At 34.2% G+C, this 23,489-nt stretch overlaps 1 protein-coding gene across 12 annotated transcripts in view; it reads left to right on the top strand.

Annotated features, from left to right (window-relative positions):
- The window catches only part of AKT3 (AKT serine/threonine kinase 3), a 362,847-nt gene that overhangs the window by 139,556 nt on the left and 199,802 nt on the right, over positions 1-23,489 (top strand). For all 12 annotated transcript variants that reach the window (NM_181690.2, NM_001370074.1, XM_047420641.1 and 9 more), the window contains one exon: positions 15,808-15,933. In NM_181690.2, the coding sequence (NP_859029.1) occupies positions 15,808-15,933 (126 nt within the window). The remainder of the gene's footprint in view (positions 1-15,807; positions 15,934-23,489) is intronic.

Here is a 23,489-nt window from a genome sequence, read left to right as displayed (position 1 = left end):
GTCACAGATAGAAGGTTGTTTCTTGGAACCTTATGTTTATTTAGGGATATATGATTGTTTTATAAATGTGGAGGGAAATAAATTATTTAAAGAAAATATAAAGAAAACAGTTGGATAAAAGTATTTCGGATGTATGGTATTAGTGGTTATTTAGTGATGATGATTTCAAATTTTGTTCTTTTGTTTGTTTGTTTTTGAGATGGAGTCTCACTCCGTCACCCAGGCTGGAGTGCAATGGCATGGTCTGAGCTCCCTGCAACCTCCACCTCCTGGGTTCAAGGGTTTCAAGCGATTCTCCTGCCTCAGCCTCCCGAGTAGCTGGGACTACAGGCACGTGCCACCACACCTGGCTAATTTTTGTATTTTTAGTAGAGACGGGGTTTCACTTTGTTGGCCAGGCTTGTCTGTAACTCCTGACCTTGTGAACCACCCGCCTTGGCCTCCCAAAGTGCTGGGATTACAGGCGTGAGCCACTGTGCCTGGCCAGCTGATTTCACATTTTGTTCTACAAAATTATTTTTCATACTTAAAAAAGTAACCTCAGTTTATTTTGGAGCTGAACTTTTCTCTGCTACGGCCAGTACTTAAGCTGTATTTGGGTTATTATCTTTAAAATGAGACTTTGGAACACCTAGCTAAAAATAATATTTCTTCTCCTCATGGAGGTTTAAAGCATTATTTGATTGTCACAACTCTTTATTTTGCAGATGAAGAAACTAATTAAGCTCACATAGGGATGAAAGTGCTGAGATAAGCAGAAGTGTTTTCTTAGAGAAGTAAAGAGGATATGGCTTTGGTCGACATGAGGAAGTCAGTAAACCTAAAAGTATGATTAATTCCCATACAGATGTAGGTGGTGGTTCTTTACATTTTTCTTTTCAAATTGTTTTCATCCGGCATTCCACGCTAGTAAATATTACTGAATAATTTTGGATGATGAGTCAAGGGTTGTTGTACCTGGGAGAGCCACCTAATTTAGTATTTAAGAGTCTTTCATAGGACGGGGTATAGTGACTAAGAACTTCTATTTTGGTTTAAAAGAATAAATTGGTTACACTAGAAAAATAACGCTCACTTTTGAATGGAGTGCTAGTAGCTTCATATAAGGATATTTTAATGTTTAATGGCACATGGTGATGGATGCCAGTATTTCTAGACAGATAGTTAAGTGTTACAGTCTAAATTTATAAACAAATAATTTTTGTTGTTTTTTATAAAAAACAACTTACAGTACCAAAGAAGTGGAAATATCCATAGCCTATGAAATATATCACAAATGAGGATGAAACTGTAAGGACATTTTCACAAATAAATGAAACCGTACTTGGTATATTTTCAGGATAATTCAGAAAACTTCAGAAACTTCTAGCTTTAATGTATATTTGAATTGTGCCTCATCAAAATACTGCATGAATAGCAATTTTTAAAAATATTGGCCAGTATGTTGAAAACAGAGTATTTCACTGTCTGACATATTGTTTAAGGCATCTTGCTAAATGTTTTGGCTTAAATTTTTTAATGTGTTTTAGTTCAAAAAAATCTGATTAAAGATGTGGGTAAACGTGGTAGCACTTTTTAGAACAGAAGATGATTAAGATACAAAGGCAGGAAAAGCATAAATCGTGAAGTTTGTCTATTTTTTTGGCCAAGCAAGTCACTTATTTGCTTGAGACTGGAACACAGCATCAAAGTTCATAATTTTATACTTCTAAGGAAGAACGCATAGAACAGCAGTTGTTGTTTCCTGGCATCTTTTTGAAGAGATATTTAAACGTAAGTATATATATTTATTATAGAAAAGAATTTTATAAAATGACCTTCATTCCCTTCCCTGAATTTGTAGTATGTTCAACTGTTAAGCTAGTTCCTTTTACCTTTTGATTTAGTAAAGAAGGATTTTAAATAGAATTTAAATTTTTATGATCTTAAAATATCCATGATATTATATACTTTAAAAAGAATAAGACTGTTTAGTAGTTCAAATTTTAAAAATCTAATTTATTCAAAGTTATGCTAAATAATGGCATAGTTCCTGAGTGGAGAACTACTATACTTTGAATTATAGAAGCAAGGACTTTTTTGAAAAAGTAAATACAAAACCTAAATAAAACACATTTTTACTAAATGGCAATCAGTGTCATCCACGTGAGATCTTGCTGTGTCAAAGTAAATTTGCTGTTTACCTGCTTGTAATAATTTTTATCTTCCTTCAATAGAAGCTCTTTTTTTTTTTCTTTTAATGCTAGGTTTTGTTTTTTTTTTTCTATATGGGAGAAGTGGTGGGACCTGGAAAGTTGGATAGTTACTAATTAACTTGTATGTAAAACTCTGACATAAAGATTAGCACTTTTTATATTCTTAAAGTAAAGGTCTATCATACCACTGGATTATATAGGGTAAGTTACTCAGTGTTTTGTATATAAAAAAAAAACTTTGATAAGTGAATGCTAGAAAACTTTTCCTTTCTGTGAAATAGCAAAAGGAATAAAACACCCAGTGTACATTGATTGACTTAGATTCTAGAATGGATAATCCTTATGCTATGTAAAGATTCTTAGTGTAAGAATCAGTTATGAAAACTCAGTGAGTGCTTCAACTCCACATTGCCAATTTGTCATTTGCATTATATTTCATTAATAAATGAGTGATTTGTAACAAACGAGTGTATTGGTATTGGCTGCTTTTAAGAAGACACTTTGGAACTGAATTGTTATCCTCCTCAAATTACTTTGTCTTTACTGAAAGATTGTATATTTAGATGTCCTGCAGTTTTTAAAAACAAATTATTCTACAGAGAGCAAAACAGGAACTTAGATTATTTATGCAATGTAAAATTCTTATATACTTTTTTATTTTATTGTATTTTGGATGACTTCAGTGATACTGATGATTCCATGCATTTTCCTTCCTGATGCCTTGGTTTTAAGAAAATCTTTCCTTTCAAAGTCACTGGAAACATTTGAAAACAGCATTATTATGCTTACTGAGGTACAGATAATGATGAGGAAAGAAATATGTACGTATAATGAGCAAATATGCCCATTTCATTTTAAGAAATTTGTTTTTATTAGTATGATAGGTAAAGATTGTTTTCTGAAATTTCTATGTGTTAGGTAATACTGCCCTCAGAGGGCCAAGGTAAGTAAATTCATTTTTAACATTGAGAAGCAGCTTTTCTATTTATATTATCTATAAGCTTTCTTTGGGGAGTACTCAAAATTATTTATTTGAGTAATTGAATAGTGTTTGATTTGTGGTTGCATTTCTTTGATTTGTTGTGTTCTTTTAAAATGTTTGTGCCCTTCAATTCGACGATATCATTTAAACATGTTCAGTTCTAGTCTAAGAAAATGTTAACATGACTGGCCATAAATTGTCAAATTAGATGGGTTCATAGAGAGTATAAGAAAATTACCTGGAAAAGTTAAGATGATTTTACTTGGCGGGTGCGTTTTAGTTTTTGTGTCTTTGATAGCAGATATTCTAGTATTCAAAATTATTTGAAGCCACACTTTTTAATATAGAGCAGTATTCATTAAAATGGAAGCATAGATTCCCTTCAGTTTTAAAAACTTAAGCATAATCACATCTTTCAAATATAATATGAATCAAGAGTAATTTACTTTGCTGTATATGCAGTGGCTATGTATAAATATACTAGAAGTTGAAATACACTTATTCCTGTGCACTTATAAAAGCATACGTTTTTAAAGTAGAGGTAAAGACCTGATATTGATGTGTGACTTAACACTTCTTTGAATTCAGAATATTGGGGATTAGATGATGATTAATTTTTGTAATAAGAAAGGAAGAGTGGGGAAGGCCTGATGTCAAAATAATGAGGTGTTCAGCATCATGCTGTATATCCATGTAACAAACCTGCACATGTACCTTCTGAATCTAAAATTAAAAAAACCCAGAATAATGAGTTGTGTCCTTTTTTCTTTTTGTATGGAGTAACTTTCTTATAATTTGAAAGAAACATTGCAATGTTTAGTAGTAAATTCAGTGGAAGGCTTTTGATTTTTTTGCCCTATAGTTAGTTGTTATTGAATTAAGAAAGATGATTTCTGTGACAGTTGGTATTGTCAGTCTTTCACTAGAGATTTCAATGAGTTAAACATAAGCGACACTCAGTTCATTATTCTTAGTAATGAGGGATGAAGACAGGACATAAGCAAAGTGAATAACAAAAATAGAAATTTTATCCACAAAAAATCAATACCTCCTTTGCTCAGCTAATGTGCAATAGTGATAGTCTAGACAAATTAAAGAAATTCCATTTTATTTTAAACACTCTAGTTACTTTTGTGTAGTCTAACATATTGTACATATTAGGTACTCACTAAATCTCCTTTGATTGGTTTCCTTAGCCTTACTCTGAGATGTTTTATTCAGTTAACAAATGCTTACATAATGCTTGCAGTGAGCTAGATGTTGTTCTACATGCTTTACAAACTTTAATTTATTTCTCCATTATTATTGTCCCCATTTTCCAGAAGAGGAAGCTGAGACCCAGAGAGATTAAACAGCATTCACTGTCTCTCACACAGCTAGTGAGTGACAGAACTGGCATTTGAACCCAGGCAGTCCAGCTTGAGAGTGTGCGCTCCCAACCACTCTTTGAATCTTAACTCTGTCCTTTACTAGCTTGTCCCAGTGTCTCAGAGCCTCAGCATGGCTCTCTGTGAAAAGTGAGAATACTGCAGCACCAGTCTCAGTGTTGCTGTGAAGAGGGCTCTGTAAGTGAAGCCTGAGCACAGTGCCTGGCTGAGGACATTCATGTTTCCTTTTCTTCCTTGCTCTTACCTCTTCTTCCTTTCACCACTTAACATGCTGTGGTACAAGACTCAATCAGTACATTGTCTAAGGAGAACAAAGGAGGGAAGAGAGGAGTTATGAAGGGCATGGATTCATCCTCAGAATAGTGGAGCTCTCGGTTTGATGCAGTGCCATTTTAGGGTCCATACTACTAGACTTTTCTTAGAGGAAAAACTCCTTGGTAAGAGTCTAAGATAAAGTCCTATTAGTTTTTATTCTGTAGAGCATTGATGTTAGTATAGGAGTGGGATGGGTGGGTTGAACCACCTGAGAGTTTTTTCAGATGGCACAGACCACCTCCTGATGAGCAAGCACTACAGCCTGCCTTCTCTGCAAACTCCCAGTTAGTGCTGTAGTGAGGCACCATTATTGTTATTTGTCATATCCATCAGGCATGTTCTAACAGAAAAGTGGATTGAACCATACGAGGTTGTGTTATAGAGAGACTTCTCTGTTTGAGAGAGCTTTTCTGACAGGAGTATAGTCTTTATTTCAAATGGTGGTAGGTTTATTTAGTCATTGAATTAATGGTTATTGCCCACCTCTGTGGTAGTTTCTTGCGTTATGGACTCACTGCTTCCATATTTGGTATTCATTAAGGTTATTTACTGCAGTGTATATGCCATGTATGATATTATATTTAGATAATATAAGGTGGTAAAATGGGAAATATTTACAATAAGGAAGTTTTAAAGTTTCTGATGAAATTATATTTTTAAATTGGTCTATATTTATAATAGTTTAAAATTCTATGACTACTTTTTGAAAATGGTGCAAGAATGACTTTGTGTTAAATCCGGTGTGTGGAACTGGAAACTCTGCTCTAATGCAGTAAACAGATTTTTAAAAAGAAAGCTCTGCTTTCACAGCCTACAAGGGTGCAGATGTAAGCAAAATAATAACTTAGCTCACACTTAACCCAGCAGGAGGCTGCGTACAGATTGAGTAATTCTCCACAACATACCTACTGCTATGTAAACTAAAGTCACCGTTTATTCTTCATTAAATTGCCAGGATGCTTTCTGTTGGCTAGTCCGTGTGGATGCTTTGTTCTCTGTGTCTCCACCCAATGCCCCTGTGCCTTCCTTACTCACCTTGCTTTTCTCTTAGAGTAAAACTGGGTACTGTAACTCTATTAAGATGTTATTGTGTTTAAGAGAATAATTTAAAAGCATCACTTTGGTTAAAAATGTAATGTTTCCTAAAAACAAGTGGAACAAGGATTTGATTAGTCAATTTACCGAATATCATGAAACAAATACCAGAATACTTAAGGGTAGATGATAATTATGCAGTTTTCTGGAAAACAAAAGAAAATTGTAAAGCAGATAAAAGTACTAACAAACCAACCATACTGAGATCTTAGAGAAGTTGCCATTCTAACATCTTGTGGTTGGTATTCAATGCATAGGTATTTTTCTCATCATCTCATCAGCTTCAAAGCAAAACATGGACCCCAGCTTTCTTTAGGAAGCCGATATGAAAACTATACTTCATAATATTGCTTCTCGGACTTTTGGCTAAGATGAAGTGAAAACTGTACTTAATGTAAAAATGACAAGTTCATGCATTATGCATTAGAATGAGAGTTTCTTGACTATAATATACTTTTCAAAATAATCATGAGGGAACATATGTGGCAAAGCAGAGGAATGTGGGTACATCTGGAAAGCCTTTAAGACATCTCGGAAGCACAACACAAAATCACGAAAATTGTAAACACCTTCCGTGTGGCCAGCTGCAGTGGCAACATTGACCAGTCCAAGAGCAGACAAACATCTCAGTGACCCAGAGTTTACCGGGTGAAATAACCATAAAGAGAAATTCAGGTGTTTAAAAATCTGACCTTATTAATCAATATTATGCAGAAATCAGTGAGAAAGACAAGAATGGGCAATAATCTTAAAACCTGAAACGTAAAGATGTGTTATTTATTATTCTAGATGAAAGGGTAGTAAAGCTATTGCCTTGCTTTTGCTTGTGTTATTGTGAGGCTTCAAGGAGGAATGCAGGATGATGCAGTGCCTCATCTTGGAATCAACATAGCAGCAAATCGAAGAATCCTACGCTGATATTCTTCCCAGTCCCTTCCCCACAGTTAGACGTCAAACCAACAAATATCATCGACTACCTTTTTCTGAATCCACATGAGATGCTATTTAGAAATGCCAAAGAATAGGGGCTATTGCCATCCCCAGTATGACATTCTGGATCACTAAGAATGGTTAAAGAAATGGGAGAAATTTTCACTTAAAATTTTAATTAGTCAACTCATCCCCTTTTCTTCTCCACCTCTCACAGCTGCCTACTAGACTTAAAGCTCCACGAGGGCTGGGACTATGCTTGTATCATTTATTAAAGCTCCATGAGGGCTGGGACTATGCTTGTATCATTTATTGCTGCCTTCTTAGTACTTGTACATATTTTGACACTCACCGAGTATTTTTGATTGAATAACTGTTAGCCCGTTTTTCTTAAATCTAAGTAAAGATGTTTAAAGTGGCTTTTTTGATCTAGGTGGTCTTGAGCAGCAGCACCTTAAAATGAGTGAGCTGGGCAGGAGTTCATAATGCTTAGACATTGCTCAATTTTCACAGACTATCAACACACATCCAAAGCTGGTTGATGACAAGTGGTCAAAGACATTGCATAGACATCAGAATAGAATTTAACACTTTTCAGTTGCCTGAGGGCAAGGAAAGAACATGTTTCAAGACTCAATAAAAGATAAATGATAACCTAAAAATTCAGGTTTTTAGGAGTTGGAAAATCTAATCAATATATGTATTTAATAAGTACCTATAATATGCAAAATCACTTTAAAAAGTTACATTTCATATTGTCCCTGTGCAGTTGAAAACTTACGCTAGTTTATTGCAATGTAGATAATATGAACAAAATTCTTCAGGATATTTTTCTTTTTCTTTTTTTTTTTTTTTTTTGAGATGGAGTCTTGCTGTGTTGCTGAGATTGGAGTGCAGTGGTGCAATCTCGGCTCACTGCAACCTCCCGCTTCCTGGGTTCAAACAATTCTCCTGCCTCAGCCTCCCGAGTAGCTGGGATTATAAGGGCCCCGCCACCACGCCCGGCTAATTTTTATATTTTTAGTAGAGACGGTCTTGCCATGTTGGCCAGGCTGGTCTCTGACTCCTGGCCTCAAGTGATCCGCCTGCCTCAGCCTCCCAAAGTGCTGGGATTACAGGAGTGAGCAACCACGCCTGGCCCAGGATTATTTTTAAGACATCAATAAAACATGGTTATGATAAGTTGAGTGAGAAGCACATTTCTTTGATTCTCTAAGAGACATGAATAGGCTTCCACTCAGAACTAATTGTACTCCTCTGTATAAAACTGTAATCAGTAATTTTAAATACTGCAAATGTCTTATTATATTTATTGTCATGCATTTCTTCAGCAACTATAATTGATTACTGATATTTAAGATGTATCACATAATTATGGACTATACAGTATTTTTTGTGCTAATATTTATTTATGAAATCCATTAGTAGAAAAGATTTTGCCATATTCTTTTAGGTAGTTCATATGTGAAAATTTGGTGTCTGTCAACAGGCAACTAAATATTTACTACATTGTGAATGATGAAATTAAATAGATTTTATGCTGAAATTAACATTGTATCTGTTTTTGTCTTAGGTAAAAATTGGCTCATGAAGACTTTTATTTAAGGAGTATTGCCAAAGATAGTTTCTTGAAGCATGTACATTTATTTTTACTGAAAACTGCCTTTTTCTGGTTTAAAGCTGCTCTTTGAAAATTCATAAAATGTTTATATTTTTATGGTACTGTACATTTGTGTGTATCATTTATAAAAATTCAGAAGAATCTGACTTCTGCTCTTTTCTTTGGAAGACTAGTTTACCCCTCTGATATCCTGATATTCAAAAGAACTAAAAGTATTAGTCAAATTAATACTGTGTTTAGATGTTGGATAACCTCTTCATTTCCTTACATAAAATACATGTTTTATATACCTGACACTAGCCAAAGAGACTTAAAAAATTCATCGTTGCCTCATTTATGTAAATACTTCTGAATAAGTGCAGTACTGATTAGTAGAACATTTAATGTGTGGTTTGTAGTTGGATTATAAATTATATTATCATAAGTGGTATTAGTATTAGTATCACTTGCTAACAACCAAATCAAATACTTGAAATATGTCAGGTAATGTTCTAAGGGCTTTTTACATTATGTCCTTACAAAAACCCTTTGGTGGATAAAAACTATGATTTCTGTTTTTCAGATGAGGACCCTGAGATGTAAAGAGGTTAGGTTCATGCATCTAATAAATGATGTGATTAGGATTCAAACCCAAGCTGTGTGACTCCAGAGTCCTTGCTCTTAACCATTACATTGTTCTGCCTGGAGCATTTTAATGATGAGGTTGAGTGGGAAAGAAACTGAAGGCTAATTTGAGAAGTTTGTTGACCTCGTATTGATCACAACAATTTGTTGTACCTTTTGTTACACAACATAGCATTGGTTTAAATTAAAATTTCTTTTATTCTGAAAATGTGACCACATGCTTTTCACATTGACAGTATGGCCAGCTTTTTTTTTTTTTTTTTTGCATAAATTCTATGGCTCTCTCCCTCTGTAAATAATAAAGATTGCGAAAGAGGTTATTTTTTCATTAACGCATGCATTAAGTATAGATGTAATCTATACATTTTTTTCTTCAGAGATGTATAAGGACAAATAATCATACATGGTAAAAACTTTGTGACTTTGCTTGTGATTAAACATGAAAATTAAATATTTAAAATACAGCATTCTGAGGAAAGCTGAGCTTATACTTGTTTTAGCTTTATGATAAAACAGTAACATCTATTCCTGACATACATGTGAGGATGCTCCCACCGTCTTCCTTATGCAGTGATTAGCTTTGAAGACTATGTTACAACAAGTTTGAGTGAGCATTGGTATCTTAAAAAGCTAGCACCTGTATCGGAAAATTAGAATTTTTGTTTGTTATGCAACTCTTGATAATTAGGGTCTTTTTTTTTTTTTTTTGCATTTTTTCTTAGGTAAGAAGCATATTTTTAAAATGGTGATTGTGTTGTTTCTAATTAAATTCTAAATGAACTAAATGAATTTCAAATGAATTTTATGGGATTTGTGAAAAATAGTGCTATGGTTTTATAGATTTCTTTTCAATTGGATTGTATCTATATTTGTTTAGTTACATCTCAGTGAATCTACCCGATTGTGTTTTTAGCATAGTCCATGACAGTTGAAGGTAGAGATGAGTATTTCTGCAGTATTCTCAACCAGTACCCAGCTCACTTCACATCTTTCTACCTTTCATGAAGTTAGAATTAGAACTAGGTTCTGGAACACAATGTAGCCTTAAAAAGGTATCAGATATTCATCAACATGATCTATTTGTGAGGTCACAAGGCTGAATTATTTCTGAAGATCTTTTCCATTTGCATGTCTGAACAAATCTAGATATTCCTTAGTTATTCTAGATGAAAGACTATTTGCACATTTTAATCAATCACTGTTTAGTCCAGAGATGTACACTTCTAGCTTCTGCCTTGGCGCTTACGACTTCAGCTTTTACACTTACGACTTAAGCTTTTAAAAAATCAAAATGTGATTCTCAGTAGAGTGTTGATGAATAATGAAATAAAATGTTTATATATGGACTAATTTAGGTTGAAGATTATTAAGTAAAAATACAGTTTGTTGTTATCAGGTGAATGGTAGGAAGTGAACACTGTCAACTTTTTGGTGAGCTCTGGTTTGAGAGTATATAATTCATGATAAAGATGATTTATTTGAATATCCTATCCAGATCTTTTAGGTGGAAAGTGAGCATGAGTCTAAACTCATACCAGGTCCCATCTCAGGTTGTTATTAAAGACTAAGCCTGGCCGGGCGCAGTGGCTCACGCCTGTAATCCCACCACTTTGGGATGCCAAGGCAGGTGGATCATGAGGTCAAGGGATCGAGACCATCCTGGCCAACATGGTGAAACCCTGTCTCTACTAAAAATACAAAAAATGGGTGGGTGTGGTGGTGCGCACCTGTAATCCCAGCTACTCGGGAGGCTGAGGCAGGAGAATCGCTTGAACCTGGGAGGCAGAGGTTGCAGTGAGCCAAGATTGCACCACTACACTCCAGCCTGGTGACAGAGCAAGACTGTGTCTCAAAAAAAAAAAAAAAATAGACTAAGCCTGAGGTCCAAAATAATGCAGTATTTTTACTCAGCTGTGGAAATTCAGGATGTTTTCTATGGTCAAAATTTACTCAAAATCATTGAGATCGTTTGTTTTAACTACAGGGAATAAGTTATTAAGTGAAGTAAGAAAGGTGGCAAAGGTCCAGAATCTGAAGTTATTAGGACTAAGTAAAACCATGAATTCTAGCAAACAGTTTCTTCCACCCTCATAATTTACAAGTAGGATTCTCTACCATTTACAGTAGTAATGTGGATTTTCCTCTTTGCATTCAGAAGGTGCTAACTGAATCTGTACATGTCCTATGCCAAGAACTCAATGAGTAAGTAGTAGTTTTTAGCTCTGTTAGCAAGCCATTGGTCATAGTGTTTAGGAGCTGTATTTCCTAGGACTGCTGTCACAAATTAATAAAAAGTGGGTGGCATAAAACAACAGAAATTTATTCTGCCACAATTCTGGAGGCCAGAAGTTAGAAATCAAGGTGTCAGCAGGTTCACACTCACTGAGAAGGCTCCAGGGGAGAACCCACTTGTTGTCTCTTCTTGCTTCTGGTGGCTCTAGGTGCTCCTTGGCTTTTGGCCCATAGTTCCAATCTTTGCTTCTGTGGCCACGTTCCCCCTTCCTTTTCTCTGTGTGTTCAGTTTACTCTTAAAAGGACATTTGTAATTGGATTTAGGGCTTACCTAGATAATTCTCCAGGGGAAAAGTCCATCTTCTCAGAATCCTTAATTGTTAATCACATGTGTTGCCATATAAAGTAATAGTCATTCTTTTTTACCATAAGGTAATATTCACAGGTTCCTGGGATTAGGGTGCGTACATCATTCGAGGGTCCACCACTCACCTCACTACCAGAAGCCAGTATACCAGAATCCTTGCTGGGAAATGTATTTGTTTTGGTATTGATAACAGCATACTTCAACATAGGTATAGCTTCCAGCAAAAGAGTGTGAGAAAGAAGTGGAAGCACCCATGAAGATTATATATATATATATATATATATATATATATATATATATATATATATAGTGGAAGAGGTTGGGTTGGAAGTCTTAACCAGTTGTGACTGCAGTGCTTGCTGAAGGTTTATCTTGACGATACATTTACTATTTGGATGTATATTGGTGGGTGTCCATTGAACAATCTCTTTGGGATACTTGGTACATCATAAATGCTTCTTTTTTGACAAGACTTTCCATTTTAACCAGGTTGTGTTTTAAATTGGTTAAAACCTATGGGCCATAAACATAAAAGTATGATGCAATTTGGGTTTGATGCATCATGTGTAAACTTAGATGCAAATTCTGTGTTTAAAATAAAAGATTGACTTTTAGCAGTCCGTCTTAAAAGGATTGGTGGCAGGGAGTGTACTTTGTTCTGGGTACTTAGCCTCATAAAAGCTAGGACTTTCTGTCCATATTTTAGAACAACCTGACAACACGTGCCTTATCTGAACTCACACTGCCTCAACTTCTGAGCTAGAGATGAAAGTGTTCAGTTCCTTTTCGAACAGCTAGGCACCTGAAATCTGGTATAATACTGGAATTAAGCTCTATTAAGTTGTCTTTTTTTTTTTTTTTGGTCCAGCCTCTGTAACAAATTAATAATGAATGCATTCTAAGCATCTTCTCAGAAAGTTAATTCATATTATAGGTGAAAAATGACAAGAAAATAGATTTAGTAGTCTTTATTGGAAGTTTGAGATCTACTTCTGGCTTAGTATCACAGTATAATTGTTGATTAACCAAATCAATTTAAAATTATTTAAAAAGTTTGTGAGAAATAATACTTTTTTAAGGAAGAAGGGAAATTCTTTAAAATTTTTCTTCTATGTGAGTGAGTACATCACTATCTTGGTATACTGTATTACGTTTGAAGGATGCATAATACATTTATTTTTAAATAGCTTTTTGGCAACCAGAAGTCCTGCTATAGATCATAGAAAATATTTTAAAAGTTTAAAAATCTGCTTAATAAAAAAGATACAAGATTTATATAATGATGTTTTTGTGTTTTTCATCTGAGGATGTACATAGAGGGAAATTATGCTTAGAAATGAAAATTTGATTTCTTTTAATTTTACATTTCTTGAATAAGTGTATTCAGTACTATTTTAAAAGAAGAAGAAATGGTGTTATTCCGTGTTTTCTTTTGTATTTTTCAAATGGATCTGATTCATTTTATTTTTGGTATAATTATTAAACTATTGTGATTTACCTTTACAGAGTTACAGCATATTGTACCAGTATAAATCTCTTATTGCTGTACAACAACATTTGAAGTCTAAATATGTCATTAATTGGAGAATTAATACCTAATGATTTTGAATTTTATATAGGAATAAATGAAATGGAAAAATAAAATAAGAGCAATTAAGGAATTATTTTATTTTTCAACGTGGGAATTGTGTATTAGGCATTCTAGTTTTATAAATTGCCTTATTAAGTCATGTGCTTATTAATATTAGGGCCGTCTTTTTTCAGTAAAATAAAGTGAAGAGCATCACTTTTTTTTCTTTTTTCTTTAAATTTCTTTTTTGCCCTTACATACTTATGTGGAGGATACTGATCTACGTATCCTCTATTTATTCATTTGTTTAATAAATCATGATTGAGCATTAAGTGGTGGGCACCAGCTTGGGCATGTAGAGTATTATCACCTCAAGGAAAACAACTGACAGTATATGCTGTCACTGATGGAAATTGAGCTTTTAAGCAAAGATTAAATTTGGGAAAACAGATCTCTCGTTATGAGCTTGTCAGCTTTCCAATGTTTACTTTTTTCATGAGACTGGTATTGATAACAAATGTGATTGTATAATGAAATGTGTCAACATTAGGAAGATCAGCATAGCACGATAAGCCAGGGTTTTCTATGTGACCAATGCATAATGTTATAAAATTATAGACAGTGTTAAAGATTCATTCAAAGTCCAGTATAGATCAATGGATTTTCACATAATAGTACAGAAAGTTCATTGTTAAAAGTTTCAAGTTCTACATTGCAACTAACCTTTTAGAAACTAACCCTTGTTGAATTCTGGTGTAGTATCAAAGAATGATATCCATAACTATCTGAATATTTTTCCCTTTTTCAGCTTCATATCTCTTTGAGCCAGATTTTTTCCCCCTAAATTTAAACCAAAACAACATACTGCAGCAGGATGTTGAAGGCAGGAACAGCTAAGAAAATTAAGCTGTCTTCTATTAAGCCAGACATTAAATAGATTTGTAAAAATGGAAAGCAGTGCTGGTCTTTGCATTTTTCTTTCTTTAAAGAAAATAGTTATTTTTTATAAAAATATGTTATTTGTTATATGTAATAAATTTATTTTCAAGTGAAGTAAAACATTTATAAAATCTATTTTCAATTTCGAATAAAGTAAACATAGATAAAAATCTACATAATTTGTTGGTGCTCTAAGTAATATTTAAGGATATAAAGAGATTCTAAGAAGTTTAAGAATTGCTGATTCAGAGGAATGATTCCACATCTGAAATACATGTTGGGGTGAGATTGCCCTTTATAGTAAAAGATTTGGATTACATTTTATGGTAAGAGACTGGACTTTACAGTAAGCAGTAAGGAGTCACAGGATATTTTGAGCAGAAAAGTGATAAAGTGGTACACACAAGATTAATCTGGAGGTGATAGATACATTAGGATGGAAGTGGGGAATGTGTAGAGTGGGGAAAAACAGTATTAACAGAAGAGTAGATATAACGTATTAAGGGTTCAGTTGATTGGGCTCAATCAGAGAGACTTGTGATGGCAGTATTGACCTAACTGTGATAAGGAGGGGAACCTTCAGATGTTGGGTTTGAGTTTGGGTCACAAGAAGAAGCTGATTTGTAGGGAAAATTGAACTGTTTGCAATTTTTTTGTACTTCTTTGCCTAAGCATTTGAGATTTAATCAGCAGGTAGAAATAACCAGTAGAGAACTGAATCAATACCAGATAGCCTTCTAGCTCTTGTAGCATCATGGAGCACCTCTGTTGCTTAAAATTAGAAGTTGTCCTTTAGTAGGTAAGCAAATTGTAATGTAGTTGCTAAAAATGTGTATTTTGGTGGCTAGGTGGTACCTTATGTTAAGTTCTAATAAAGTATACATTTATTGACTATTATGTTCTTGACACTGTACCATATATTAATAGTTACTATGTTTGTGTATGTGTGAGTTTGCGTATCGTTGAAAGCCCTGTTAACCCATGTTCTTTCGTTTTCTTAAGTACAGCATTGCAAAAAGGTTATTTTTCTATGAAGAACAATAAAATGTTGCTTAAACAAGTTACAGTCAAGATTTATTAATGAAAATAGACTTTTTTCTTTCTTTTTTGAAAAAAAAAAGACACAATTAGTGGAAGAGAAACATCTATTTCTTGCCTCTCTTATGATAAATGTTTTTAATGGAAATTCATTGATACTGTGTGGATGATTTACCAAGGCTTTTTAAAACAGCTGAAAATATGCTCTAACAACCATCTGATAAAATGAAAAACTGAACAAAATGTGTACTCAGATGATTCTCTGAAGGAATAATGGTGCAAATGAATTATCAAAGTGTGAAATCATTAAAAACAAAACATGTTTGGGTTTTTATTGAATCTTAATTGTAGGCTTATGTATTTTCTTTTGTAAGCTAAGTTAAAAGAAAATTGAGTAACTAAATTTTTGGAGGCCAGTGTTGTAGGACATATATTGTACCATAATTTATTTTTTGCATAAAAGCTGCTGTTCATTTTTTTCAGCATTAACATGCGTGCTTTCCTCATGTAGGAGAATATATAAAAAACTGGAGGCCAAGATACTTCCTTTTGAAGACAGATGGCTCATTCATAGGATATAAAGAGAAACCTCAAGATGTGGATTTACCTTATCCCCTCAACAACTTTTCAGTGGCAAGTAAGTTAATTATAATTGTTGATTCATCTTGTATTTATTTATTTTTATGATTTTATGTGTCAGATATCTTAGGCTATATGAGAAACCTGTGAAAAAGTTTGGGTTTATATTTAATAGAGAAATTTTCAGCTTTGATAGAATTTCAGTCCCTTAGCATAGAGGTTATCGATAACATTTGGTCTTATACAATGCAATAGAGTTTAATATTTTTATGTAGAACTTGAATGTGATAAATATAATTCCCCAAATACATACTTCAAGTTTTTGTTTATAACATAAAAACAAGGACCTTTGAACTTGGTTGTTAGATTTAGCATGATTATAAGATGTTGTGGTACTTAATGCACTTTAATCAGTTTCCTGTCATAATCTTAGCTCTTTTGATTGTGTGATGAGAAACAGGTGATTTATATTAGAAATCATCTTCTGGGGAGATTTTATGTTCGTAGTTAAATTTTTCTTCCTTACAAATATCTAACAAAAATGTTTAAAACTTACTTAGAAATTTTGTATTTGCATGAACATAGCACAAAATAAACTGAAAGATGACAATGATGATAATGACAATGATTATTATTGTTATGTTATTACCAGGCTCTTCCAACTCTTCAAATATATTGATTAATCAATTAGAGAATCTTTGTGTTAATTTAGAAGTAAAGTGTTTTAAATTACGCTAAGTTAAACTTGCCTAAGATCTAGCTCGTCTGTATTATTAAGCTAAAATCTTTAACGAGACAATATCCTTAATTTTGATTTTGGTTATATGTTATCTATTAGCCATATTTGGGAAAAAAAGATACAAGGGAAATTTGAAGCTAAAAAATGCAATAATATAACAAAAAATTCAAGAAAATAAGTCTTTGAATGTTACAAATTTCATTTTACCATTATAAAAGCCGTGATCTTTTTTTACTCCTATTGTTTAATTCAGGTTAGCCCTTATTAGTGGGTTAGAATGGCTACTGTATTTTTTTTAAGAAAAAGATAAAACAATAAACCAAAGGGTTAAAAGATTTGTGAAGTCATTTGAACGATATGGATACTAACTTAAAAAAAAAAGCTTTCTCTGTTTATATTAGTGGATTCTTAATATAGATATTTTTTAAATGAGATCACTATGAAGTGTGTGTGTTAGTTAAGGAAAACATCTTTTTTCCCACCAAAATGCTCATTAGATAATAATGGTTTTCTTTCAATAGAAAATTATTTTTTAAACCCTATTGTCAACTGAAATAATATATTGTATTTTGTATTGACTTAAGAACAGATTTTCATTTTAAAGACTTTTTGAGTGAACATTTGCTTTAAAGTGATAGAAATTAGCTTTTAGAACATAAGCAGCATACATTATCTAAATGCCCTACCTAAAGCCAGTGTAGCTTTTTAGTTTATCCATTTTACCAGCAAATGTTATTGGTTTTTCTGAAATAATTTATAAAAGTACAGAATTCTTGTATCTGCTGATCAAAATGCAGCATTTTTTGACCTTATGAAATTTCACACCCCAACGAGTTTTAAAGACATACTGTATGTCACAGTCTGCCAACATCTGCTCCAACACTTCCACTGGCAGAGGCTGAAATAAATGCTGCACTCTTGGGGAAGGATCCTATTTAGTGACTGACAGTCAGCTTATTTATCCATGAAATAAATACTATCTGACATCTGTAATCTTGTATAATCAAGTAGCTGTAGGTAGTTGACTCAAACTAACAAGTAAGTTGTAGGTTGGCTCCTTAGTTTTAAAAAGTATTAGTAACATGGATCTTACTCTAAATAAATTTTTAGAAATTGATTATTACTAAAGCTTGACTTACCGCAATCTTCAATTCTGTAATAACAGTTATGTGAGGAAAGAATGAGTCTACTGAAATGGATACTAGCTGAAGAAGTAGTTCAAATTCCAACCTGGCCGCAAGCTGCAAGTAATAGGACCTTGGGCAGATTATTCTCTGAAACTCTGATCTTTATGTAGTTTCTTCATCAGCATGTTAGAAACATTTGGATTCAGTGGATTTGTAAGGCCCTTTTTGTCCCTGACATTCTGTGATTCTGTGGGGTGGACTTTGAGCAGGTCCTTGAAGAGTGAGTAGGAGTTAAGCAAATTAAAACAGAGAAGAAGAATATTCCAGGCAGAGGGCAATGAAGAATGTCTTTATGAGGAATTAAGGAAGGAACAATTGGTGCAAGAGAGGGTTACTTCACCATTGCTTTTTCCTTTGCCCTAGCCCCCTTTAGTACATTTTTAAAAAGATAATTTTACAAGGTATTTCTAAGGTATGTTGGGAAATGTTATATATATATATATATATATATATATATATATATATATATATATATATATCAAATTGTAGCTACCAAAGGGATATATATATCCCTCATTTTTCTGATAATTAAAGATATTACTTCATATTTAATCAATATGGGTTTTAATGAAATTTTACCAAAATAGGCTTTTTATTTATATGAAAAGAACAGAGTATGAGAACTGTAAAGGGGTTTGAGAACTTCCAATCTTAATTAAATTTTGAATTGCTTCCCTCCTGATTTAAATTTTTCAAAAAGATAGTGTTATACTCATTGTTTCCACTTCGTATCCCACTGCAGTCTAGCTTCCTCCCTTACTCACTTGATTGAAACTACTTATAATAAATTATTGAGTGACCACTTAATTGCTAATGTAGGGGAAAAGAAATATCTTTTCTTACCATTTCAGGTTCATGGCTGAGGCTCCTATAACAAAAGGAAGATTAACAAGAGAAAAACACACAAATTTAAGTAATAAAACTTTTATGTGACAATGCAGCCTTTGGAATTGAAGACCCAAAAAAACACATAAATTTTTTTTTTTTTAGACAGTCTCACTCTGTCCCCCGGGCTGGAGTGCAATGGCATGATCTTGGCTCACTGCAACCTCCGCCTTCCGGGTTCAAGTGATTCTCCTGCCTCAGCCTCCCAAGTAGCTGGGATCATAGGCGCACACCACCATGCCTGGCTAATTTTTGTATTTTTTTTTTAGTAGAGATGGGGTTTCACCATGTTGGCCAGGCTGGTCTCAAACTCGTGACCTCAGGTGATCCACCTGCCTTAGCCTCCCAAAGTGCTGGAATTACAGGCATGAGCCACCATGCCTGGCCAAACTTGTGTATTTTTATGTTTAGGGATGATGAAGAGGTGGATAGTCATAAGGACTAAGGGCTTATAATGGTAATAAACTGAAGGGAACTTAGTAAGGCTTGTTTGTCAGATTCTTTTCTCTGTCCCTGTGTCTTCAGGAATAAGGATATTCCTTCCCTCTGGGTATAGTATGGGCATCTCTCATATGGGGATCTTATGACCTATTTCAGGGGAAGGTCAAAAAATTCTTGCTAAGTTTTATGACCTGTCTCACGTGAGAAGGATGAGAGGAAGGTAAGAATGGCCTTCCTGCTTTTGCTGTTTTCTCAAATGCTAAGGTGCTATCTTTTGGGAGATCATGTCATGAACCCTGTCAGTAAGTCTAGTAGACATCTTTCAGTTCTTATTTTTCCTGGATTTATATCTGGGCTGCATTTTATACTGTTGATCACCATCTCCTTTTTGACCACTCCCACTGTGTTCTGGGATATACCTCTTTCCTGTTCCCCCCTACCCCTTAGGCTAATGCACAGTTCTGGTATTTAACAGGGTTCTGGTTGAAGACCCTTCACACTTTGTACTTTCTCTTGGGCGGACACGTTGACTTTTGGGGTTTCAGTTGCAACCTTGTGTGCAGCTTACTCCCACACTTAAATCTCTAGGCTAGGCCTCTCTCCTGAGCATTAGGTTACTCTGTTCAATTGGCTGCTGGACATCTCTACCTAGATATTTTTTGACCAGGTACGTCCTAAGATAAACTCAAGATAATTTTGTCTATTTCTTCCTTTGTACTCAGTATCTGAGTTCTGTCTCTGCCTGATCAAAAACATGGATCCTTTCCATGCCTTTTTTTTCTCCTTCACATCTTTACCCCACTCCCAATCCATTTCTAGTCCTGCTGATTCTGCATATTTCTTGAACCTATGATCCTTTTCTATAATCACCCCAGAATGAGGCCTCATCATATCTGCTGTAGATTCTTAACTAGCTTCTCTGTTTCTAGTTTGTACCACTCATACTCTTTCTTCACGCGGGTATCAAAGTGGTCTTTCTAAAATTATATCATAACTATGCCATTCCCCTGTGAAAGCCCTGCCTTGGATCATCATTGCCTACTGGATAAAGTTCAGCTTTCTTAATACATCATAGATCTCTTCAATCTGGCCTCTACTTTCAACTCTTGCAGGATCTCTCTTCTGCTCTACAATTATGTATCAGCAATACTGAACTGTTTATAATTCCCTGTACAACCTATGCTGCTTTTCCACTCTGAGGCTTTGTTTATGCTGTTCCCTTCGATTGGAATGTCCTTTGGTCCTCTATTTGCCTGGATACTTTTCTAAGACTTAATTCAGATTTTAATTCCCATCCCTATTCCTTGCTAAATTAGTCCTCTCTGCCCTTCTTAAATCTATTATCTTCTGCTGTTAACACATTGTTTCTTGGTTATCTTGTTCCTGTGCATGTCTCATTCACTGATCAGTAAGTTATTTTAGGGGAAAGAGCTTAGTCTTATTTATCTTATATCTCCTAGTGCTTGTATTTTATGACTTAACTTTTTAAGTGAACATCTGAAACATCTAGTCGAGATTTCTCTTTTTTTAGGTGAGAAAAATGAAGCCTTTAGAAATTCAGTGATCTTTTTAAGGTTGCCTTACTAGGTAGTAGTAGTTAAGTATCAAGAATAAAACTCAAGTGTCTCGACTATCACATAAATATTACTCCCCTCCCCCACCCCTATATTATAACATTTCCCCTAGATTTATGGTGATGAGACCTGATTTGGGGCCCCATTTCCAGCACTTAAATTACTAGGTATCCTTTGACATGGAGAATGGAAACTCCACAAGGCCTGTAGAATGTGGATAGCAATATTTGACGTTCACCCTTCTTTGGGTGGATCACATAAGAACTATTAATATATAGGTGCCAATGTAGTGCTGTAGAAATGTAAGTAAAAATAAGGTTTTTCAAGCATAGTACATCTCTAATCACAATTATGGTTTGATGGATTTCTAAGGATTGTAGATTGAGATATATACAAGAAACATGCACTTTAAAAAATAATATAGGATACATACATTGTCTCAGGGCTGCATTTTATTTTACTTTGAGTAAAACAGTTTGTCTGTCCAGGAGTCATGGTCTTGCTAACATTTTGACAATTTGTATGAACCTCTCTTGAGTTTACTAGCTTGCTCAGTTCCAGAGTGGGAGTAGTTCCCACATGGAGGACGTGTGCATTTGCCCCTATGTCTTGGGCTTATCCTACTTCTGATCAATTCCTTCTTATTCTCTGTGGTGGGATGGGAGAAGTGCCAGCCTGTGTCCTAAGAAGCCTCTCCTAGAATTCTACCTTATTCTATGCTGCAAATATTGTCCCACCCTGACAATATGCTTTTCTTCTCTGAAACCTTTCTTCAGTCCCTTCTTAAAAAATAGGTTATTTCTGCATTTATAAGCACAATTTTAAAAGATGAAATATTTACTCTTTTTTTTCTTTTTTCTTTAAGTTTTTTGTTTTTTAAGACAAGATCTCACTCTGTCACCCAGGCTGGAGTACAGTGGCACAATTACAGCTCTCTGTAGCCTCAATCTCCCAAGCTTAAGTGATCCTCCCACCTCAGCATCCTGAGTATTGGGGACTACAGCTGCATGCCACCTCATCTGGCCAGTTTTTTGTAGAGACAGGGTTTCACCATTTTGTTCAGGCTGGTCTTGAACTGGGCTCATCAAGTGATCCACACCTTGGCCTCCCAAAGTGCTAGAATTATAGGCATGAGCTACTGTGCATGACCAAAGTATTTACTCTCTAACCGACTTTTCTCTCTCTCTTTGCAAGTAAGGGAATTATGGGACTTAAACCTACTAACAAACATCTTTATCTCATCCCAGATGCTTGGGTGGCTAAGGTGGAAGGATCGTTTGAGACCGGCCTGGGCAACATAGAAGGACCCTGTCTCTTTAAAAAAAAAAAAAAAAAAAAAATCTTTGAATAAATATTATATACAGAGATTTTAAATATGTAGAAAAATCAGTTGATTCCTATTAATACTTCTAGTGGACATACATGGGGATAGAGAAAAAGCTTATGACTTGATTCTTAGTCTTGTGTAACAGATAATACAACCTAGAATAATAACCTTGTAATTCTAGAAAAACTACAGACTATGTAAATATATACTATATAAATGTACATGAATTATGAGAGATCATAATAATTCACCTTCGAAGTGTTGATTGATCATTATACCCATACCTGATAGTGAAAGGAATATATAATAAAATTTTTATATGTAAGAATTTGTCATTGACTATGGAAGACATTCACATAGAACATATAGCAGTGGGAGGAAAAATAGGATTAATTGCCAAAATGAATTCTGTAGAAAGTAGCTGCTGTAGAAGTTGAGAGAAGCAATAGGTAAGTGTTGGCGAGGTTGACTGAGAATTTACTCAGGAGATGGGGTTAACATGAGCCCTGAAGAAGAGGATTTGATTATGTTTTTGTAAGACAGAGGACAGTCTCAGGTTAACAACATAAGCAAACAAATGAAGGCAAGTATTAAGGAGTAGCTTGTTTTGTGAATGGTATAGGCAATATCCTAGATGGATGGAGAATTTATGCTGGAGGAAAAAAAAAAGCTCAGATTAGAGAGTTAGTAATCAGATTATGGAAAGTCTTAAATATCAATGTGATGAAATTTTTGAACATCCGGTTTCCAAATCAGTATTCAATTTTTTTAAAAGGATGTACCTGGTTATAGTGTGCAGTGGAGGGGATACATCCTTAAACAAACAGGCTGCGAGTCAGTCAGCAAGATACAGTTTAGTCCTCATCCTTTTCAGTCTTACTGCTACCATCCTAGCTCAGTGCTTCATCACTTCCTTTCTGGATTATGTTAAGTCTCCTGATCAAGTTCTTACCTTCAAATATTATCTTTTCTGGAATATTTGGAAACAATGCATAAAATAGATTCATCTCCAAAAAAAGTTCCTTTGCAAATACCGTTCTCCTTGCTTAGAAAAATTTCAGATGTTCTCCATTTTTGACAAGGAAAAGCTGAATTATTTTTTAATATATATCCACAATTAAACACTTGCCCAAATAATAACTGTGTTTATAGCCTATATCTTTTCATTCTTTTTTTTCTGTTACTCTTTAATGTTCTATACATTTTCTTTTTGACATACATTGCTATATTCTGGTCAGGTTTAATTACATACAAAATTCCTAACCCTGTGTTTGTTTTTAATGATTTTTAGATCATTTAATCATTTTATCACTTGAAGATTTGGTGCTTTCTTTTTTTTCTTGATTTACTTTATTTAAAAAACATTTTTAATTGATACATATTAGATGTACATATTTTCGGGTACATGTGATTATTTGATACATTCATATAATGAAATCAAGGTAATTGATAAATCCATCA

The sequence above is a fragment of the Homo sapiens genome, chromosome 1 (assembly GCF_000001405.40).
Source record: "Homo sapiens chromosome 1, GRCh38.p14 Primary Assembly".
NCBI classification, from domain to species: Eukaryota; Metazoa; Chordata; class Mammalia; order Primates; family Hominidae; genus Homo; species Homo sapiens.
This window is presented reverse-complemented; position numbering and strand designations above follow the sequence as displayed.